A 17,679-nucleotide genomic window follows, 5' to 3' on the forward strand; every position below is an offset into this window, starting at 1 on the left:
ATTCGAGATTATCTCAATCATTAACGTGGATAAGACTTTGCTCTGGTGACACTTGGCTATTGACAGACTAATGTTTTTCTTTTTCTTACAGGAGACGGATTTTGTTTGTTTTGATGGAGGAAGAGATGATTTTCATAATTATAATGTAGAAGAACTTTTAGGGTTTTTGGAACTGTACAATTCTGCAGCTACAGATTCTGAGAAAGCTGTAGAAAAAACTTTACAGGATATGGAAAAAAACCCTGAATTATCTAAGGAAAGGGAACCTGAACCTGAACCAGTAGAAGCCAACTCAGAGGAAAGTGATAGTGTATTCTCAGAAAACACTGAGGATCTTCAGGAACAGTTTACAACTCAGAAGCACCACTCCCATGCAAACAGCCAAGCAAATCATGCTCAGGGAGAGCAGGCTTCATTTGAATCTTTTGAAGAAATGCTGCAAGATAAACTAAAAGTGCCAGAAAGTGAAAACAACAAAACCAGCAATAGTTCTCAGGTCTCAAATGAACAGGATAAGATTGATGCCTATAAACTTTTGAAAAAAGAAATGACTCTAGACTTGAAAACCAAATTTGGCTCAACAGCTGATGCACTTGTATCTGATGATGAGACAACCAGACTCGTTACTTCATTAGAAGATGATTTTGATGAGGAATTGGATACTGAGTATTATGCAGTTGGAAAGGAAGATGAGGAGAACCAAGAAGACTTTGATGAGTTGCCATTACTTACCTTTACAGATGGGGAAGATATGAAAACTCCAGCAAAGTCTGGCGTTGAGAAATATCCAACAGATAAAGAGCAGAATTCAAATGAAGAGGACAAGGTTCAGCTAACTGTGCCCCCTGGCATCAAAAATGATGATAAAAATATACTAACAACCTGGGGGGACACTATCTTCTCTATTGTCACAGGAGGTGAAGAAACAAGAGATACGATGGATTTAGAGAGCTCTAGTTCAGAGGAAGAAAAAGAAGATGATGATGATGCATTAGTCCCAGATAGCAAACAGGGGAAACCACAGTCAGCAACAGATTATAGTGACCCTGACAATGTAGATGATGGTCTTTTTATTGTAGACATTCCTAAAACAAATAATGACAAAGAAGTAAACGCAGAACATCACATTAAAGGAAAAGGGAGGGGAGTTCAGGAATCCAAGAGGGGCCTGGTACAAGATAAGACAGAATTAGAGGATGAAAATCAAGAAGGCATGACTGTGCACAGTTCTGTTCACAGCAATAACCTCAACTCTATGCCAGCTGCTGAAAAGGGTAAAGACACATTAAAATCAGCTTATGATGATACAGAAAATGACCTAAAAGGAGCAGCTATTCATATCTCAAAAGGAATGCTCCACGAAGAAAAGCCTGGAGAGCAGATTTTGGAAGGTGGCTCAGAGAGTGAATCTGCACAGAAAGCTGCAGGGAATCAAATGAATGACAGAAAGATTCAACAGGAATCCCTGGGTAGTGCACCACTCATGGGAGATGACCACCCTAACGCATCCAGAGACAGTGTGGAGGGAGACGCTTTGGTAAATGGGGCCAAACTGCACACGCTTTCAGTGGAGCATCAACGTGAGGAATTGAAAGAGGAATTAGTTCTTAAAACTCAAAACCAACCTAGATTCTCCTCTCCAGATGAGATTGATTTGCCCAGAGAACTGGAAGACGAGGTTCCCATTCTGGGAAGAAATCTTCCCTGGCAACAAGAAAGAGATGTGGCTGCCACAGCCAGTAAGCAAATGAGTGAGAAGATAAGGCTCTCTGAGGGAGAAGCCAAAGAGGACTCCTTGGATGAAGAGTTTTTTCATCACAAGGCAATGCAGGGCACAGAGGTAGGACAGACAGACCAAACTGACAGCACAGGAGGACCAGCTTTCCTTTCTAAAGTAGAAGAGGATGATTATCCCTCTGAAGAACTACTAGAGGATGAAAACGCTATAAATGCAAAACGGTCTAAAGAAAAAAACCCTGGGAATCAGGGCAGGCAGTTTGATGTTAATCTGCAAGTCCCTGACAGAGCAGTTTTAGGGACCATTCATCCAGATCCAGAAATTGAAGAAAGCAAGCAAGAAACTAGTATGATTTTGGATAGCGAAAAAACAAGTGAGACTGCTGCCAAAGGGGTCAACACAGGAGGCAGGGAACCAAATACAATGGTGGAAAAAGAACGCCCTCTGGCAGATAAGAAAGCACAGAGACCATTTGAACGAAGTGACTTTTCTGACAGCATAAAAATTCAGACTCCAGAATTAGGTGAAGTGTTTCAGAATAAAGATTCTGATTATCTGAAGAACGACAACCCTGAGGAACATCTGAAGACCTCAGGGCTTGCAGGGGAGCCTGAGGGAGAACTCTCAAAAGAGGACCATGAGAACACAGAGAAGTACATGGGCACAGAAAGCCAGGGGTCTGCTGCTGCAGAACCTGAAGATGACTCGTTCCACTGGACTCCACATACAAGTGTAGAGCCAGGGCATAGTGACAAGAGGGAGGACTTACTTATCATAAGCAGCTTCTTTAAAGAACAACAGTCTTTGCAGCGGTTCCAGAAGTACTTTAATGTCCATGAGCTGGAAGCCTTGCTACAAGAAATGTCATCAAAACTGAAGTCAGCGCAGCAGGAGAGCCTGCCCTATAATATGGAAAAAGTCCTAGATAAGGTCTTCCGTGCTTCTGAGTCACAAATTCTGAGCATAGCAGAAAAAATGCTTGATACTCGTGTGGCTGAAAATAGAGATCTGGGAATGAACGAAAATAACATATTTGAAGAGGCTGCAGTGCTTGATGACATTCAAGACCTCATCTATTTTGTCAGGTACAAGCACTCCACAGCAGAGGAGACAGCCACACTGGTGATGGCACCACCTCTAGAGGAAGGCTTGGGTGGAGCAATGGAAGGTGAGATGCCTATGGCCTTGTAGAACAGGGCTGGAGAAGCAGGTGGGTGGGTCGCTGAGGTGCCTCCTATCTTGTGAAGCTCTGTTCAGTTTCCAATGTGCCTAAAGGAGAGGGACAACACAGGGAGGTCCACATGTTCCTTCCTGCCATCTTTCTTTTAGGCTGGAGCATGGAGAAGAATTTCTTGCCGTTTCCCTTAGAATAGTTGAGACTGGTTAGCATTTTCAAAAGGAAACTTTGTAAAAAGCTAAAGAGAAAGATATAAACCAGAAAGTAATATACAAAATACAAATGTCATGTAAAATTATGAAAGGGTTTTATTGAACACAATTTTTCAGTCGTCAGATAACTGCTCTGTAACCATGGATTGACTGGTATAACTTTTAGATCAATGCCTTGGCTAAATTCCTACGTTCTCCCCAATTTTATCTTTTGTGGATGGCTTGTTCTTCCTGTTTCTTGGGAGCACTTACTCCAGTTAAACCCTCCTGGGCCGTAAGGTTCTTGCATGCAGATTAATCAAGATTGGGACAGGGATGCCTTCGAATGCAGTGCTTGATGCGTGGAAGCCATTCAGTTGAATTAACCCCGAGCCAATATCCTGACATAAGCATTCTGATTCCTAGTTCCTTGTTCTATTCTCTGCATCCAGGCTTTTCTCTTTCTTTTCTTTTCTTTTCTTTCCCTTTGCCCACCTGCCCTTCCTTCCTTCCTTCCTCTTTCTTTTTTTCTTTTCTTTTTTTTTTTCTTAAGACAGGCTCTCACCCTGTCACCCAGGCTGGAGTACAGTGGCATGATCATAACTCATTGCAGCCTCCAACTCCTAGGCCCAAGCGAACCTCCCATCTCAGCCTCCTAAGTGGCTAGGACTACAGGCATGCATCACTGTGCCCAAATAATTTTTATTTATTGTAGAGACAGGGTCTTGGTATGTTGCCCAGGTTGATCTTGAACTCTTGGCCTCAAGTGACCCTCCTACTTTGGCCTCCCAAAGTACTGGGATTACAGGTGTGAGCTACCGCACCTGGTATATCCAGGCTTTTCAGACAGATGTATCTGAATTGAGAGTACCAAGGGGACAGGAAGCCACAGGAAAACGTATTACTCCAGAGTGCTAATTTTTCCTAAGAAATGGGGGAGGAGAACTTTTTTGCATTTAATTAAAACATATATTTTGGATAAGAAGGCAATATTCAGATGAATTTTCAGGGTAAAATATGAGGCTACAAGGAAATTCACCTTTGCTGTGGATCACATTGGACTGTCCCCTAAGCCTCTTAGGAGAGGAGATGGCTTCACTTTGTTTGACTCTTAGAGGTACTTTGAAAGTATTCGAAAGACATCTCAGCAAGCTGCCTTGGCGTGGAATGTCCCTGTCTGTACTAGTTCTGTGAGAAAGGCATGCTAGGGTATGCAAGAGTTCATGTTACTTCTCTGCAGAATAGATGTTTCACATTTCTGCTCTTGAGTGGAATTCTCATTTGCACATTTATTTGTGTGGGTGTAGGCTGATTTGCCAAGGAAAGATGTTACTGAAGTCCCTACCATAAATGTATTTATTTATGAAATACTCCTCTGTAGATTTTATTATGTAGATTAGTCATCCTTTAAATGGAATAAAAGAAACTGAAACTCTTATTTCCCTGCCCAGTTGTGCTCCATGGGATGCCCATGCATGGAGGTCAATGTTGAGGTGCCCTGGTGTGGTCAGTGGGATTAGCCTAACAGGTAGTGTCATCAAGCTGTGCTAGCCCAGTGTATTCTTCTCACCCTAGAGATGCAACCACTGCATGAAGATAATTTCTCACGAGAGAAGACAGCAGAACTTAATGTGCAGGTTCCTGAAGAACCCACCCACTTGGACCAACGTGTGATTGGGGACACTCATGCCTCAGAAGTGTCACAGAAGCCAAATACTGAGAAAGACCTGGACCCAGGTAAAGCCTGCTAATTTTTTTCTACAAAGTGGAGAAATCATAAAGAAGGCCTTCTAGGAGATTCATTGTCAAAGGCAGGAGCTAGAGACTTGTTAAATTCAAAGGAAAAAAGGATCCCAGAGCTAATTGAGAGAAAAGCAGGCGTCAAGACAGATGGAGATCAAAAATAGGAAAGACACCAGAGACTATAACTAACCTACAAACCAATGTTTGGCTGTCACTATCTTGTGTAAATTATTTCAATCTAAAATATTATTCTTAAAAGGCCTTATGCTCTAAAACAGTAGTTTTCAACCAGCCCAGCAGCATCAGAAACTCTGGGGGTGGAACCGGCAATCTGTGTTTAACAAGCCCTCCAGGAAAGACTGACCTGATGCAAATTACAGTTGGAGAACCACTGCTCTAAAACTCACAAATTCTGTTTTTCCTCTACTTTACCCCTCTCTTTCCAAATAAAATACAATGCAATGCAGTTCTTTTTTTTGATTTGCTATCTGGACATGGTAAGTAAAACTTCTTAAAATACAGTGAAGGGGTCCAAGTATGTTTATAGCATAAGCTCATAGGAGACAGTACAGAACACTGTAGTGTGTAATAGTCCAGGATAGACCGACACAAAGAGTATTTCACCACAGTGCACAGTAAACATCCAGTGAGAGATGAGAACGTTTACTTTCCAGGCACAGTGCCTAATATTTAGTGGATACTCAATAAGTATTTTTTAAAGAGAATTCTTATTCTAAAGCACAAAATGTCTATCTTTCCTCCCAATTCCAGGGCCAGTTACAACAGAAGACACTCCTATGGATGCTATTGATGCAAACAAGCAACCAGAGACAGCCGCCGAAGAGCCGGCAAGTGTCACACCTTTGGAAAACGCAATCCTTCTAATATATTCATTCATGTTTTATTTAACTAAGTCGGTAAGTTTAACATAGTTTTTTTTTAACTAAAATGTTGATTATTACAGTTTTTAAGTTGATTTTGAGCATGAGGTGAAGAACTTAAAATGTCTTTATGAACCTGACTCCTGATCCTTTGAAGAGAGACCCTGAAATGAGCCACAGGTGTGTGGCTTTAATGGGCTCTTAGTTCAGCACATGAGGAGGCTTTGCTGCATGCTGGAGCTGGGCACAAGCACACCTGTCAAACGTGGTTCTTCCTTTCAGGGACCTTTCAGTTTAGCCAGGAGAGAAAGACAGTCACTTGAAATGTAACATGATAATGGGCAGGAAGAGAAGTATTTACCTGATGGTAGAACAATCTGTGGCATAAATTGGTTCATCGTGGAGGGAGAGTGATAGGAAAGGCCAGAAATTCGCTGAGATATGCTTTAAGCAGATTCGAAAGAGATGGGAGCTTGACTTGGAGTTGTCAAATAGAAGGGCTAGGGGAAGGATGTGGGCAGGGGGGCGGGCAGCATGCAGTCAGGCAGAAGAAATAACACATTCAGAGAAATGGAGGCATGAAGAAAAGGTTATTTGGGGAAGCCAGGGAAGCGTGGGTAGTTGGTGTTTTTTCTTTTTCTTTTTTTTTTAAATTGAGACAGGGTCTTGCTCTGTTGCCCAGGCAGGAGTGCATTGGCGTGATCTCAGCTCACTGCAACCTCTGCCTCCTGGGCTCAGGCGATCCTCCTGCTTCAGTCTCCTGAGTAGCTGGGATCACAAGTGTGCACCACCATGCCTGGCTATTTTTTGTAGAGGTGGGGTTTTGTGATGTTGCCCAGGTTGGTCTCGAACTCCTGAGCCCATGGGAGCTGCCCACCTTGGCCTCCCAAAGTGCTGGGATTACAGGCGTGAGCCACCATTCCCGGCCAGTTGGTGTTGTTAAAGTGTGGAGTTAAAATTAGCTGGGCAGGGTGGTGCACACCTGTAATCCCATCTACTTGGGAGGCTGAGGCAGGAGAATAGCTTGAGCCCGGGAGGCAGAGGTTGCAATTAGCTGAGATCGTGCCACTGCATTCCAGCCTGAGCGACAGAGCAAGACCCTGCCTCAGAAAAAATAAAAATAAAAAAGTATGGAGTTAGGAGGGAGAAGGTCTGTTGGAGGGACTCAGGGAAAGTCAGAAAGGAAATTGTACACCATAGTGAGTGGTCAGACCATTGTTGGCAGAGATCCTTGGAAGATTTTAAGCAGGAAAGGGATTGTCAGGTCTGTTTCTTAGAAAGAGTCACTTATGGCAGAATATTTATTCAGATCTTTCTAAAGGGAGCCATGCTCCAAATGAGACATTTAATGTCTAGAAGCTTATCTAGGCTTTTTAGGACTTAGCTCCCCCTTGTGGTACTCGGTGGAATTGGACTTTTTTTCTTGGTAAATTAGAGGACTAAGCAAGCTCTTGAAGTTGGAGGCCAGGTTGCCCTTAGGGCTACAGAGAAAGTATGCTTCTCACCAAAGCCATTTCCTTTAGGTTCTGTTATTTCAAGACTCGAATAGGAAAGAGCGTTCTTGTTGTTTTTCTGTTAAAATCCATGGGTTTCAAGCCAAGATGATTTTATTTCAAATCCCAAAGCTATCGATTAGAAGTTTAGGGCAAATTACTAAACTTTGAACCTCAACTTTCTCATCTGAAAAATTTAGATAATACATACTCCAATTGTTGGTAAGAATTAAATGACATGATAATGTAAAATGTCTGGTGTAGCAACTGGCATTTTGTAAGATCTCATCCCTCACCTAATTCTCATTTGGATGGTCAGAGGGCATATAAAGACATTGAATACCTGAGGGTTTCAGGAGAAAGACCACCAGGATGGAAAACAAGTAGGAAAACCAAACCATTTTTCAGTATTATTCATGTTTGTTCTGGTGATAGCCACCTGGGTGAAGGTGTGTATTATCTTTGCAGTTGGAATAATGAAGTTTTCAGGGATTAAGACAGTCTCAGAATTCAGAATTTGGTTTTCAGAGTGAAATTATCACTTGAAAAATTTAACAGCCCCAGTTGTAGAAGGAATTCTTTATTCATTGTATTTCTAGATACGCACAGAGCCCTCTTCTAGGCCTGGGTTGGGGCATATAGGAGTGGTGTAGGATACGATCTGTGATCAGGGGATAACAGGGAATGACAGACATGAATGGCAAGATATAAGGGCGCAGTGTTATAAGATGCCGACTTGAGAGGGATTGTCAAAAGAGCATTTTGATGGCTAAATATGTACCAGAAATTGTGCTAGGAATACAAGATTCCAAGAGGTATAAAGTGTAATTCTGACTTTTGAAAGTCTTCAAAAAAAGTTTACCAAATACATGTGAAAATTGGAGAAAGTGGAGAATATAGGAAATAGTTTATGCAAAGTATCAAGTAGTTCATATAGATAATTGTTTCATAGGGTTTTGGAGTAATGGGGTGCTGACTTTATTGGGAAAACTATACCAGAGGTCAGACTCGTAGATCAATAATTGATGAATAGTTAGTGGAATCTTAGGGTTGGAAGAGACCTTAGAAGCTACTAGTCCAACTTCTCAGTAGTCACAGCAATTCCCTGTACTCTAACCCTGCCATTTTGGGACCTGTGCGTCACCGGTTCCTAGTGTAAGCCGCCTACCTTGCAAGGCTATACATTCCTTTGTTGCCTATTTCATTCTTATACTGACTCCAAATTTTCCTCCAGATGATTTCCTCTATAGAATCTAGTTTTCTTTTTACATAGTAATCCTTTAAATATTTGAAGTTATACTTTAATTTATTTTAGCATTTTATCCTGGAAAATTTCAAATATACAAAAGCAGAGAATCCGTGGGACCATCACCCAATAATTCCCAAAAGTGACTGTACCATTTTATACTTCCATCAGCAGTTAATGAAACTTCCATTTGACCACACCTTCCCTAACACTTGGTATTATCAGTCTTAAATTTTAGCCATTGTAGTGGGTATGCCTTTCTGGTTTTAATTGTAATTCCTGATGATTAATGATATTGAGCACTTTTTCACTGCTTATTGGCCATAGTTTTTTGTGTGTCAGTTCACTCTGACTAGCTGGAATTTAAATGTCTTGCAGCCCTGTGACAACTCTGGGAATTGTTTAGCTTACAGTTGTTCTTTTTTCCTTTAGTTATTCTTTGCCCATCCTCAAGGAATCTTACCCTACACAGGAGCTGTTTAGAATTCAGGCTGAGGCTGAAGGAGAGACCTCCTTGCATATTTCTGGAACTCTACTTGTTCCTAGTGTCCATCTTTTTTTTTTTTTTTTTTTTTTTTGAGATAGAGTCTTGCTCTGTTGCCCAGGCTAGAGTGCTGCGGTGCCATCTTGGCTCATTGCAACCTCCACCTCCCGGGTTCAAGCGATTCTCCTGCCTTAGCCTCCCAAGTAGCTGGGATTACAGGCACCCGCCACCACACCCGGCTAATTTTTGTATTTTTCAGTAGAGACAGGGTTTCATCATCTTGGCCAGGCTGGTCTCGAACTCCTGACCTCGTGATCCACCGGCCTCGGCCTTCCAAAGTGCTGGGATTACAGGTGTGAGCCACTGTGCCCAGCCCATAGTATCCATCTTTCTGGTACCTTTTCCTGCATATTTCAGATGCCTCAGTCTCCCCGAGCTTTAATCTCTGCCTCCTCTGCAAGATTGGTGTACTCTGCTTGGGTTCCCTATCCCTGCACTGAAGTCAAGAAAGTACCGCCAGGTAGAAAGCTGGGAGGTTGTAGAGCTCACCTATTTGTTTCTTTTCTCTCAGGGGTCACAATTGTGTGCTGCCTGTTGTTCTCTATATGAAAAACAGTTTTTAAATATCTTTTGTTTAGTTTGCTTGTTGCTTTCAGTGGGAGGGTGAGTCTCATACCAGTTACTGTCTATGGAGTTCTTTCTGTTATTATTGCAGTGCATTCATTGAAGAAACAGTTTTGTTTGGCTTCTAAGGTATATGATGGTCTAGATTTTGCTGACTACATCCCCCTGGTGTATTTTAACATTTTTCTCTGGTTCTTTATATTTCCTGGGAATTGATAGTTGCATCAGTAGTCAAATTCAGATTCAATTTTGTTTGTCAAGAATACTTAATAGGAGATGTTATGTACTTCCATCAGGAGGCATTTAACATCTGGGTGTCCCTCTTTTTTTAAAATTCTCTTTATATTGTTCCTCCTTCATTTAAAGGCTGGGGTATTTCTACAAAGAGAAACTTATGATCAAGTATTCTTTACACTGAGATTTGGCTTGTATAGTTAAGGCAGGGTAAATATTTGATTCTTTTTGTTTATTTAAACAGTTTTCAAAATAACGAGTTAGACAACTCATTCGTGGCATTATCAAATGATGCCCAAAGGGTTTTGTTTTTTTCTGACTCTTTCTAATAATCATTATGCTGTCATGGATTTAAAAATATTTGGTGTGTTTCTATCCAATCAAGAATAATTTTTTTTTTTTTTTTTTTTGGTTAAGATAGGGTCTCACCCTGTTTCCCAGGCTGGAGTGCAGTGGTGTGATCATGGCTCACTGCAGCCTCGACCTCTCTGGGCTCAGGTGATCCTCCTACCTCAGCCTCCTGAGTAGCTGGGACTACAGGTGTGTGCTACCATTTTTTATATTTTTTGTAGAGACGGGGTTTTGCCATGTTTCCCAGTCTGGTCTCAAAATCCTGGGCTCAAGTAATTTGCCTGCCTCAGCCTCCCTAAGTGTTGGGATTACAGACATGAGCCACCATGCCTGGCCAGTTATTCTTATTGATGATCAATTTACAATTATAATTGGAGATTTCAGTATCCCTTCTCAATAACTGATAGAATAGGAAGTCAATAAGGATCTAGAAGTTATGAACATCATCATTAACCAACTTGACATTATTGATGTTTATGGAACATTCCACCCAAGAAGAGCAGAATACATATTATATACTTTTTAGTGCACATGAAGCGTTTACCAAAATAAACTATATTATCAGCCATAAAACAAGTCTAATGAATATAAAATGATTCAAGTAGTACAAAGTCTGTTCTCTTCACAATATAATTAAGTTAGAAATGAATAATGGAAATATCTGGAAAATCCCCAAATATTTGGAAACTAGGTGACACACTTCTTTCTGAACATCTTATGAGTTTAAAAGGAAAAGGAGAAATTAGTATTTTGAGATGAATGAAAATGAAAACAGGCCAGGCGCAGTGGCATCCCAGCACTTTGGAAGGCTGAGGCAGGAGGATCACTTGAGCCCAGAACTTCAAGACCAGCCTAAACATGGTGAAATCCTGTTTCTACAAAACACACACACACACACACACACAGCTGGGCATGGTGGCACGTGTCTGTAGTCCCAGCTACTCAGGAGGCTGAAGTGGGAAGGTTGCTTGAGCCCAGGAGGTCGAGGCTGCAGTGAGCAGAGATTGTACCACTGCACTCCAGCCTGGGTGACAGAATGAGACCTTGTCTCAAGAAAAGAAAAAAAAATAAAGACAAGAAAATGAAAACAAATATATCAAGTGTGTACAATGTCGCCAAAGAACGAGTGGGAAATGTATAGCACTACCTATATTAGAAAAAAAAGGAAAGGTCTCAAATAAGTGACTTTATTTTCCACCATAAGAGACTAGAAAAAGAAAAGCAAATTAATCCTCAAGTAAACAGGAGAAAAGAAATAATGAAGATAAGAGCATAATTCAGTGAAATAGAAAACAAAAGGAAAAGAGAGAAAATCAATGTAACCAAAACCTGGTTCTTTGAGATTAATAAAACTGATTAACCTATAGCCAAAGTGAACAGGGAAAGAAGAGAGGGAATACAGATCACCAATAGCAGCAATCAGAGAGACATCACCACATATTCTTCAGATGTTAATTATAATAAGGGAATATTATGAGCAATTTATGTCAACTAATTTGACAATTTAGATGAAGAAATTCTATCTAAGACACAGACTGCAAAAGCTCATTCAGGAAGAAACAGATAACCTTATGACTATTAAGTAAATTGGATTTACAGCTAAAAACCTTTCCACAAAGAAAACCCAGATGGCTTCACTGCTGAATTCTATTAAACTTAAGAGGAAGAAATACTACAAATTCTACACAAACTTGTCTATTAAACTGAAGAGGAGAAAATACTTCCCAGCTCATTGTATGAAGCTGATGTTACCAGGATATCAAAACAAGGCAAAGACAAAGACAAGTAAGAAAGAAAACCACAGACCAGTATCTCTCATAAACATTGGTACAAAAATTCTAAACAAAAATTTTAGCAAATCAAATCCAGCAATATATAAAAAGGAAAATACTCTATGACCAAATAGGGTTAACATCAAGAATACAAAGTTTGTTTAACATTTGAAAATCAGTGTAATTAACCATAATGACAAACTTTAAAAAGACAATCCATATGTTCAGTTCAACAAACACAGAAAACCACTTTGAAAAAAATCTAAAATTGATTACTATGTAATTTAAAAAACAATATATCAACAAACTAGGAATGGAAGGGAACTTAAATCACTTTTATGAAAGACTTAAACATCATACTTAATAGTGAATGATTGAATGTTTTTCCCCCAAGATCCAGAAGTGAAACAAGAATGTCTACTCTCATTACATCTGTTCAGTGTTATAAGGCAATAGCCAGTGCACTAAGGCAAGAAAAAGAAATAAAATGCATCCAGATTGGGAAATAAGTAAAATTGTCTTTTTTTGCAGACAACATGCATAAAATCTGGTGGGATGTAGAAAAAAATCTAGTTTAGTAAGGTTGCTAGATAAAGATTTACATCTAAAAGCAATTGTATTTATATATCGTAGCAATGAACAATTGGAAATTGAAGTTAAATTCCATGTACAATAGTATCAAAAATATGGAGTACTTATGGATAAATGTGGCAAAAAGTGTGTAAGACATATGCATTAAAAACTATAAAATATTGCTGATAGAAATTAAAGAAGACCTAAATAGATGGAGAGATAGACCTTGTTTATGAGTCAGAAGACTATATTGTTAAGCTCCCCAATTTGATCACTTGCATTAACATAGCCCCAATTAAAATCTCAGAAGGATTTTTTTTTAAATGACAAGCTGATTCTACAATTCATATGGAAAATGCAGAGGACCTAGAATAGCCCAAGCATCATGTAATTTCAAGACTTACTATAAAGCTCTAGTAAGTAAGACAGCAGATGAATAGACCATTGGAACAAAATAGAAAATCTGGAAATATACATGTATGACAGTGGACTTCTGACAAAGGTGGAAAGACAATTAAATGTACAAAGGAAAGTCTTTTCAACAAATGGTACCAAAACTATTAGATATTTATATGCAAAAAATTGATCCATACCTCACATGATGTACATAAATTAACTCAAAGCAGATAATAGACTTAAATGTAAACCCTAAAACCATAAAACTTCTAGGAAAAATTAAGAGAAAAATTTTGTTGAACTTGGATTGGCAAAGATTTCTTACAGTTGACATCAAAAGTATGATTCATAAAGGAGAAATTTGATTATTTGGATTTAATCAAAATAAAAACATCTCTTCAAAACACACTGTTATACAAACTACAGACTGGGAAAGAGTCACTGCAAAGCATCTATCTGATAAAATATTTGTATTCAGAATACATAAAGAACTCTCAAAATTCATCTAAAAAAATGTAATGCAGTAAAATTACACTTTACCAAGGAAGATATACCAATTGCAAGTAAGCACATTTAAAAATGTTCACCATAATTATCAGGGAAATGCCAATTTAAAGCAGAATGAGTTACCACTACACACTTACTATAATGGCTAAAATTTCAAAAACTGATTTTACCATGTGTTGGAGAAGATGTGGAGGAAATGGAAGTATCATACACTGCTGATGGGGATGTGAAGTGGTACAGCTATCTTGAAAAACAGCTTGTCAGTTTCTTAAGAAGGTAAACCTACACTGGTCATATGATCCAGCCATTCTTCTCCTAAACATTTACCTGAGACACATTTACCCAAGTGAAAATAAATTATACATGCATAGAAAGACTTGTAGGTCAATGTTTTTGACAGTTTATTTTTTCTGCCCAGCTGGCACATTTACTGGCATTAAATATAAGACCCTTCCCTTCCCTGGCACCAGGAAGCCATGCCCAAGGGGTATCCCTCTGCCCCATTTCTGCAACAGATTCTTCAGGTCTTAGCAGTAGCCTGAGCTGCCCCCAGGGCTCTGGGCTGCTGAATCGTCTGGCTCATCATTTCCATGACAGCATGGTGTGCTCCTGGAGAGCTGGTGGATTTTCTCTATCTGCTTGGTTAGGAAGTCTGTCTTCCTCTTCAAGAAGTCCTTGGCATCCTCGGCTATCTTATCTACATAGTACCCAGTTCCTACATCAATGAGCACATGTTCCACATCATGCAGCTTCTCAGGGACATATATTAAACTCGTCAGTGGGAGGAGTAATTCTCTTCCCTCATTGTTCTCGCTCAGCATGTTCAGACAGTCCTTGGCTTCTACATACTTGGTCTGTACCACTTTGAGCTGGGCAATGGAGGTGGACAAGAACTCCATTTCCTGGTCCAGCTGGTTCTTGAGCATTTCTAGCTGCGGCAGATTCATCTCTGTGATAGTCTTGGAAGTTTTATTTATAAAAGCCTAAAACTGGAAAAAATCAAATATCTATCTATAGATGACAGATAAACAGATTATGGCATACCCATACAATGAAATGCTACTCAGCAATTAAAAAAAGAACCATTATAGATATGTGCAGCAATGTGGGTGAATTTCAAATTATGCTGAATGAGAGAAGCCAGAGAAAATATAATCGTGCATTATTACATACATATAAAACTTTAGGAAATGCAAACTAATGTATTATGACAGACATTCTGCTTCAGGGGCAGGGAGGGATGAAAAGGGGCAGATTACCAAGGGAATAAGGAGACTTTGGGAGGTTCACTATGTTGGTTGTGATGATGGTTTCACAGGCGTATTCATATGCAAAACTGATCAAACTGTGCACTTTAAATACATATAACTTATTGAATGTCATATTTCCCTCAAAGCTGTAAAGAAAAAAAATCCTAACTTTCTTAGATAAAAGTAGTAGTCTCTACTTTTCTCTACCTTTTAAAAAAAATGTATTCTGACAGCATACCCTAGCAGTATATAAAATTATTTTCTTTTATAGCTTCACAGTATACTTTGTTGTATTTAATATGTCTTTCATTCATGGCCATTTTGGTTGTTTCTAGTCTTTTGTTATAAGTAATGCTGGAATAATATAGTTTTGTGCATATATTTTTTCAGCATTTGTTGTTATATCCCCAGTATCTTTGAGATAGATCTTTAGAAGTAGGATTGTTGAGTCAGTAGGTAAATACACAAGTTATTTCAGGAGACGTTGCCAAATCATAGGGGTTGTATGATTTTATATAAAGATCAGCATAGCATGAGAGTGCCTGCTTCCTCCACATTCTCTCACCTACAGAGTGTGTTGTCAAATGTTTGGATCTTGCCAAGATAAGTGAGAAATCATATTTCATTGTAGGTTCATTTTGTATTTCTTGTATCATGAGTGAGGCAGAGCATGTTTCCATATGTTTTTAAATTATTTGCATTTCTTTTCCTGGGATCTGTTCATTACCTCAGCCCATTTTTCTATAGGTTTGCTAGCGGCTATCTTCTTATTTGTAAAGCACTTTATATTTTAGGAATATTAATCCTTCATAATATGTTACAAATATTTTTTCTTAGGTTACCATTGCCAAAGTTTGATTATTTTGCAATTTTTTTGGATGGGGTTGGGCAAGTTTTTTTGGTTTTCCAGTAATCAAATTTACGAATATTTTCCTTTGTTGCTTTTGGATTTTGATACATAATTAGGAAGGTCTTGCCCACTCACATAATACATAGAGACAGTCACTCAATTTTTTCAACTTGTTTGTTTTCATTTTTTACATTCAGGTTTCTGATTAACTTGGAATTTATGAACAATGAGAAAAAGATCCAGTTTTATCATTTTCCATATTGTTATCTAGATATGTAATACCACTTATTAAAAAGTCTGTTAACCAGCTGCCTTGCTGTATCGCAAATTTCCAGTGCAGTTGGGTCTATTTCTGGATTTTTTATTCTGCCCCGTGGTCGGTCTGCATCCTTGGGCCAGTACCATACTGTTATTACAGATCCTGCCCTCCTCTTGTACCACACCCTTCACTGCTCTTCTTTCTCAGGGTTTTCCTGCTTGTTCTTGCTTGATTGTTCCTCTGAGTTGACTTTATATTCAACTCGAAGAGAGACCTTTAAAGGTCTAAAAATGGTATTTTTTATCTACAGATACCATTTTTTCCCCACAGATTAAATGTCCCCGGTTTCTTCAACTTTTGGAACGTGATTTCCATACTATTCATTATCCTTGTCCTTTTCCACAAGTCATATAACCTTAAGATGTGGCCGGACACTTGTAGTCCCAGCTTCTTAGATGGCTTGAGCCCCGGAGTTCGAGTCCAGCCTGGGCAACATAGGGAGACTCCCTCCCCTTCCCCGCAGCCACCATCTAAAAAAAAAAGTGGGACCCATAACTCAACCCATGTGCATGGGGGTGACACGATGACATGACTCCTGGGTAAGACTTTTTAATAGAGTGTCGGCAAGAATGTGAGACAGCGAGCGCAATGGAGGTCTGGAGGCGGAACAGTAAGCAGAGGACTGAGTGGGCAAGGAAGAAAGGCCGCGCACTGCAGTGGCGCCCCATCTGAGCGGTGGTCCTTCCACGCTGTGACAGGAAGGGCCAGCTCCGGGCCGGCACGAGAGACCTGCTTTTCTCCTTTTCCCCAGCTGCCGCCCACAATCCTCCTCCAGGTAAATCCCTGGCCTCATTACTCTGGGGCTCTTTAAGTCGCCGGTTCCTGGCGAAAGCGCCAGTCACTTCCGCCTCTTTTTACTGGGATTCTTCCGCTCTAGCCCTATTCGCTCTTCTCTCCCGTCCCCTCGATAGTTGGTTCCGTCCGCTCTGGCCCCGCCCTCGCCGGCCGGCTCCTTTGGTGCCTTGAGGTGCGCCAGGGGCAGTGGCTGATGACGTGTTTTATAGGCGGCATAAAGCGAAAGTGCAGGCAGCTGTGGAAGGCGAAGTTCAATCCCAGAGTCCGCCCCCTGAATTGGGGCCTTTCCGGAGGAGGAAGCTCTGAAAAACAGGGGGCCCAGTGCCATTCCGCAGGGAATTGTCGCTTGCGTTCAGCTGTTCTACACAATGGACTCAGTACCTGCCACTGTGCCTTCTATCGCCGCTACCCCGGGGGACCCGGAACTTGTGGGACCCTTGTCTGTGCTCTACGCAGCCTTCATAGCCAAGCTGCTGGAGGTGACAGTCCCGATTCCCGGGGAGGGACCCAAGCTGTCACAGGCGGGTGGATGAGTTCTAAGCAGAGTGGGTGCACTGATTGTCTGTGCAAAGGAGAAATGGAGTGTGTCAGATCCGAGGAAAGCAAGACGTTTCTATGCTGTTTAGGGAGGCAGGTGGGAGTGTGTTTGAGAAGGTTTCGTCACTCTTTTTTTTTTTTTTATTGAGTACTTACGAAGTGACAGCACTTTATGTTCTGGTGTGAAGTCATGATCAAAACACAGAGAACCTACAGGTCTTTTCTGCATAACCCCCGGCTCTGTTGTGGGATGGGACCAGTGTGATAGTGTACTTGTAAAGGGCTGTGGAAACAGCATAGAGCAGACAGGTGTTTAATGCACTGTTTTCAAGGAAACATTTAGAATTAAGGCACTAAATTCAAAGCGGTTTATCTAGATCAGTTATCAGGAGCTATCCGAACTTAGTCAGCATTTGTTCTTTGTTTATGTAAGTCGATTTAAGATTTTAAATCTTAGAGGAATAAAACGTTATTTGTGATATTCATTATCATCATATTGGTTTTATTTGCAGCCATAA

At 40.3% G+C, this 17,679-nt stretch overlaps 1 protein-coding gene and 1 pseudogene across 10 annotated transcripts in view, besides 6 other annotated features; one reads left to right on the plus strand and one right to left on the minus strand.

Annotated features, from left to right (window-relative positions):
• Positions 1–17,679, plus strand: part of MIA3 (MIA SH3 domain ER export factor 3) — a 49,911-nt gene that overhangs the window by 9,387 nt on the left and 22,845 nt on the right. For 7 of the 10 annotated variants that reach the window (NM_001324064.2, NM_001324062.2, NM_198551.4 and 4 more), the window contains 3 exons: positions 92–2,906; positions 4,682–4,843; positions 5,621–5,766. In NM_001324064.2, the coding sequence (NP_001310993.1) occupies positions 230–2,906; positions 4,682–4,843; positions 5,621–5,766 (2,985 nt within the window). In that variant the 5' untranslated portion in view covers positions 92–229. Of the gene's footprint in view, positions 1–91; positions 2,907–4,681; positions 4,844–5,620; positions 5,767–16,845; positions 17,104–17,679 lie in introns of those variants that run through there. The other 3 variants (NM_001324065.2, NM_001300867.2, XM_047419783.1) reach the window with 1 other exon arrangement.
• LOC107985098 (prefoldin subunit 5-like) lies at positions 13,815–16,622 on the minus strand (annotated as a pseudogene).
• Positions 15,820–16,697: an enhancer, noted in NCBI's record as "NANOG-H3K27ac-H3K4me1 hESC enhancer chr1:222816645-222817522 (GRCh37/hg19 assembly coordinates)". NCBI's record gives its function as "activates a minimal SCP1, AML or CMV promoter by ChIP-STARR-seq in naive H9 embryonic stem cells {active_cell/tissue: H9 hESC(naive)}" and the evidence as "EXISTENCE:reporter gene assay evidence [ECO:0000049][PMID:30033119]".
• Positions 15,820–17,573: a biological region, named in NCBI's record as "NANOG-H3K27ac-H3K4me1 hESC enhancers GRCh37_chr1:222816645-222817522 and GRCh37_chr1:222817523-222818398".
• Positions 16,304–16,423: an enhancer, noted in NCBI's record as "active region_2578". NCBI's record gives its function as "activates an Ori minimal core promoter by ATAC-STARR-seq in GM12878 lymphoblastoid cells {active_cell/tissue: GM12878}" and the evidence as "EXISTENCE:reporter gene assay evidence [ECO:0000049][PMID:35858748]".
• Positions 16,494–17,103: an enhancer, noted in NCBI's record as "active region_2579". NCBI's record gives its function as "activates an Ori minimal core promoter by ATAC-STARR-seq in GM12878 lymphoblastoid cells {active_cell/tissue: GM12878}" and the evidence as "EXISTENCE:reporter gene assay evidence [ECO:0000049][PMID:35858748]".
• Positions 16,698–17,573: an enhancer, noted in NCBI's record as "NANOG-H3K27ac-H3K4me1 hESC enhancer chr1:222817523-222818398 (GRCh37/hg19 assembly coordinates)". NCBI's record gives its function as "activates a minimal SCP1, AML or CMV promoter by ChIP-STARR-seq in primed H9 embryonic stem cells {active_cell/tissue: H9 hESC(primed)}" and the evidence as "EXISTENCE:reporter gene assay evidence [ECO:0000049][PMID:30033119]".
• Positions 17,174–17,253: an enhancer, noted in NCBI's record as "active region_2580". NCBI's record gives its function as "activates an Ori minimal core promoter by ATAC-STARR-seq in GM12878 lymphoblastoid cells {active_cell/tissue: GM12878}" and the evidence as "EXISTENCE:reporter gene assay evidence [ECO:0000049][PMID:35858748]".

Source organism: Homo sapiens, chromosome 1 (assembly GCF_000001405.40).
Source record: "Homo sapiens chromosome 1, GRCh38.p14 Primary Assembly".
Lineage (NCBI taxonomy): Eukaryota > Metazoa > Chordata > Mammalia > Primates > Hominidae > Homo > Homo sapiens.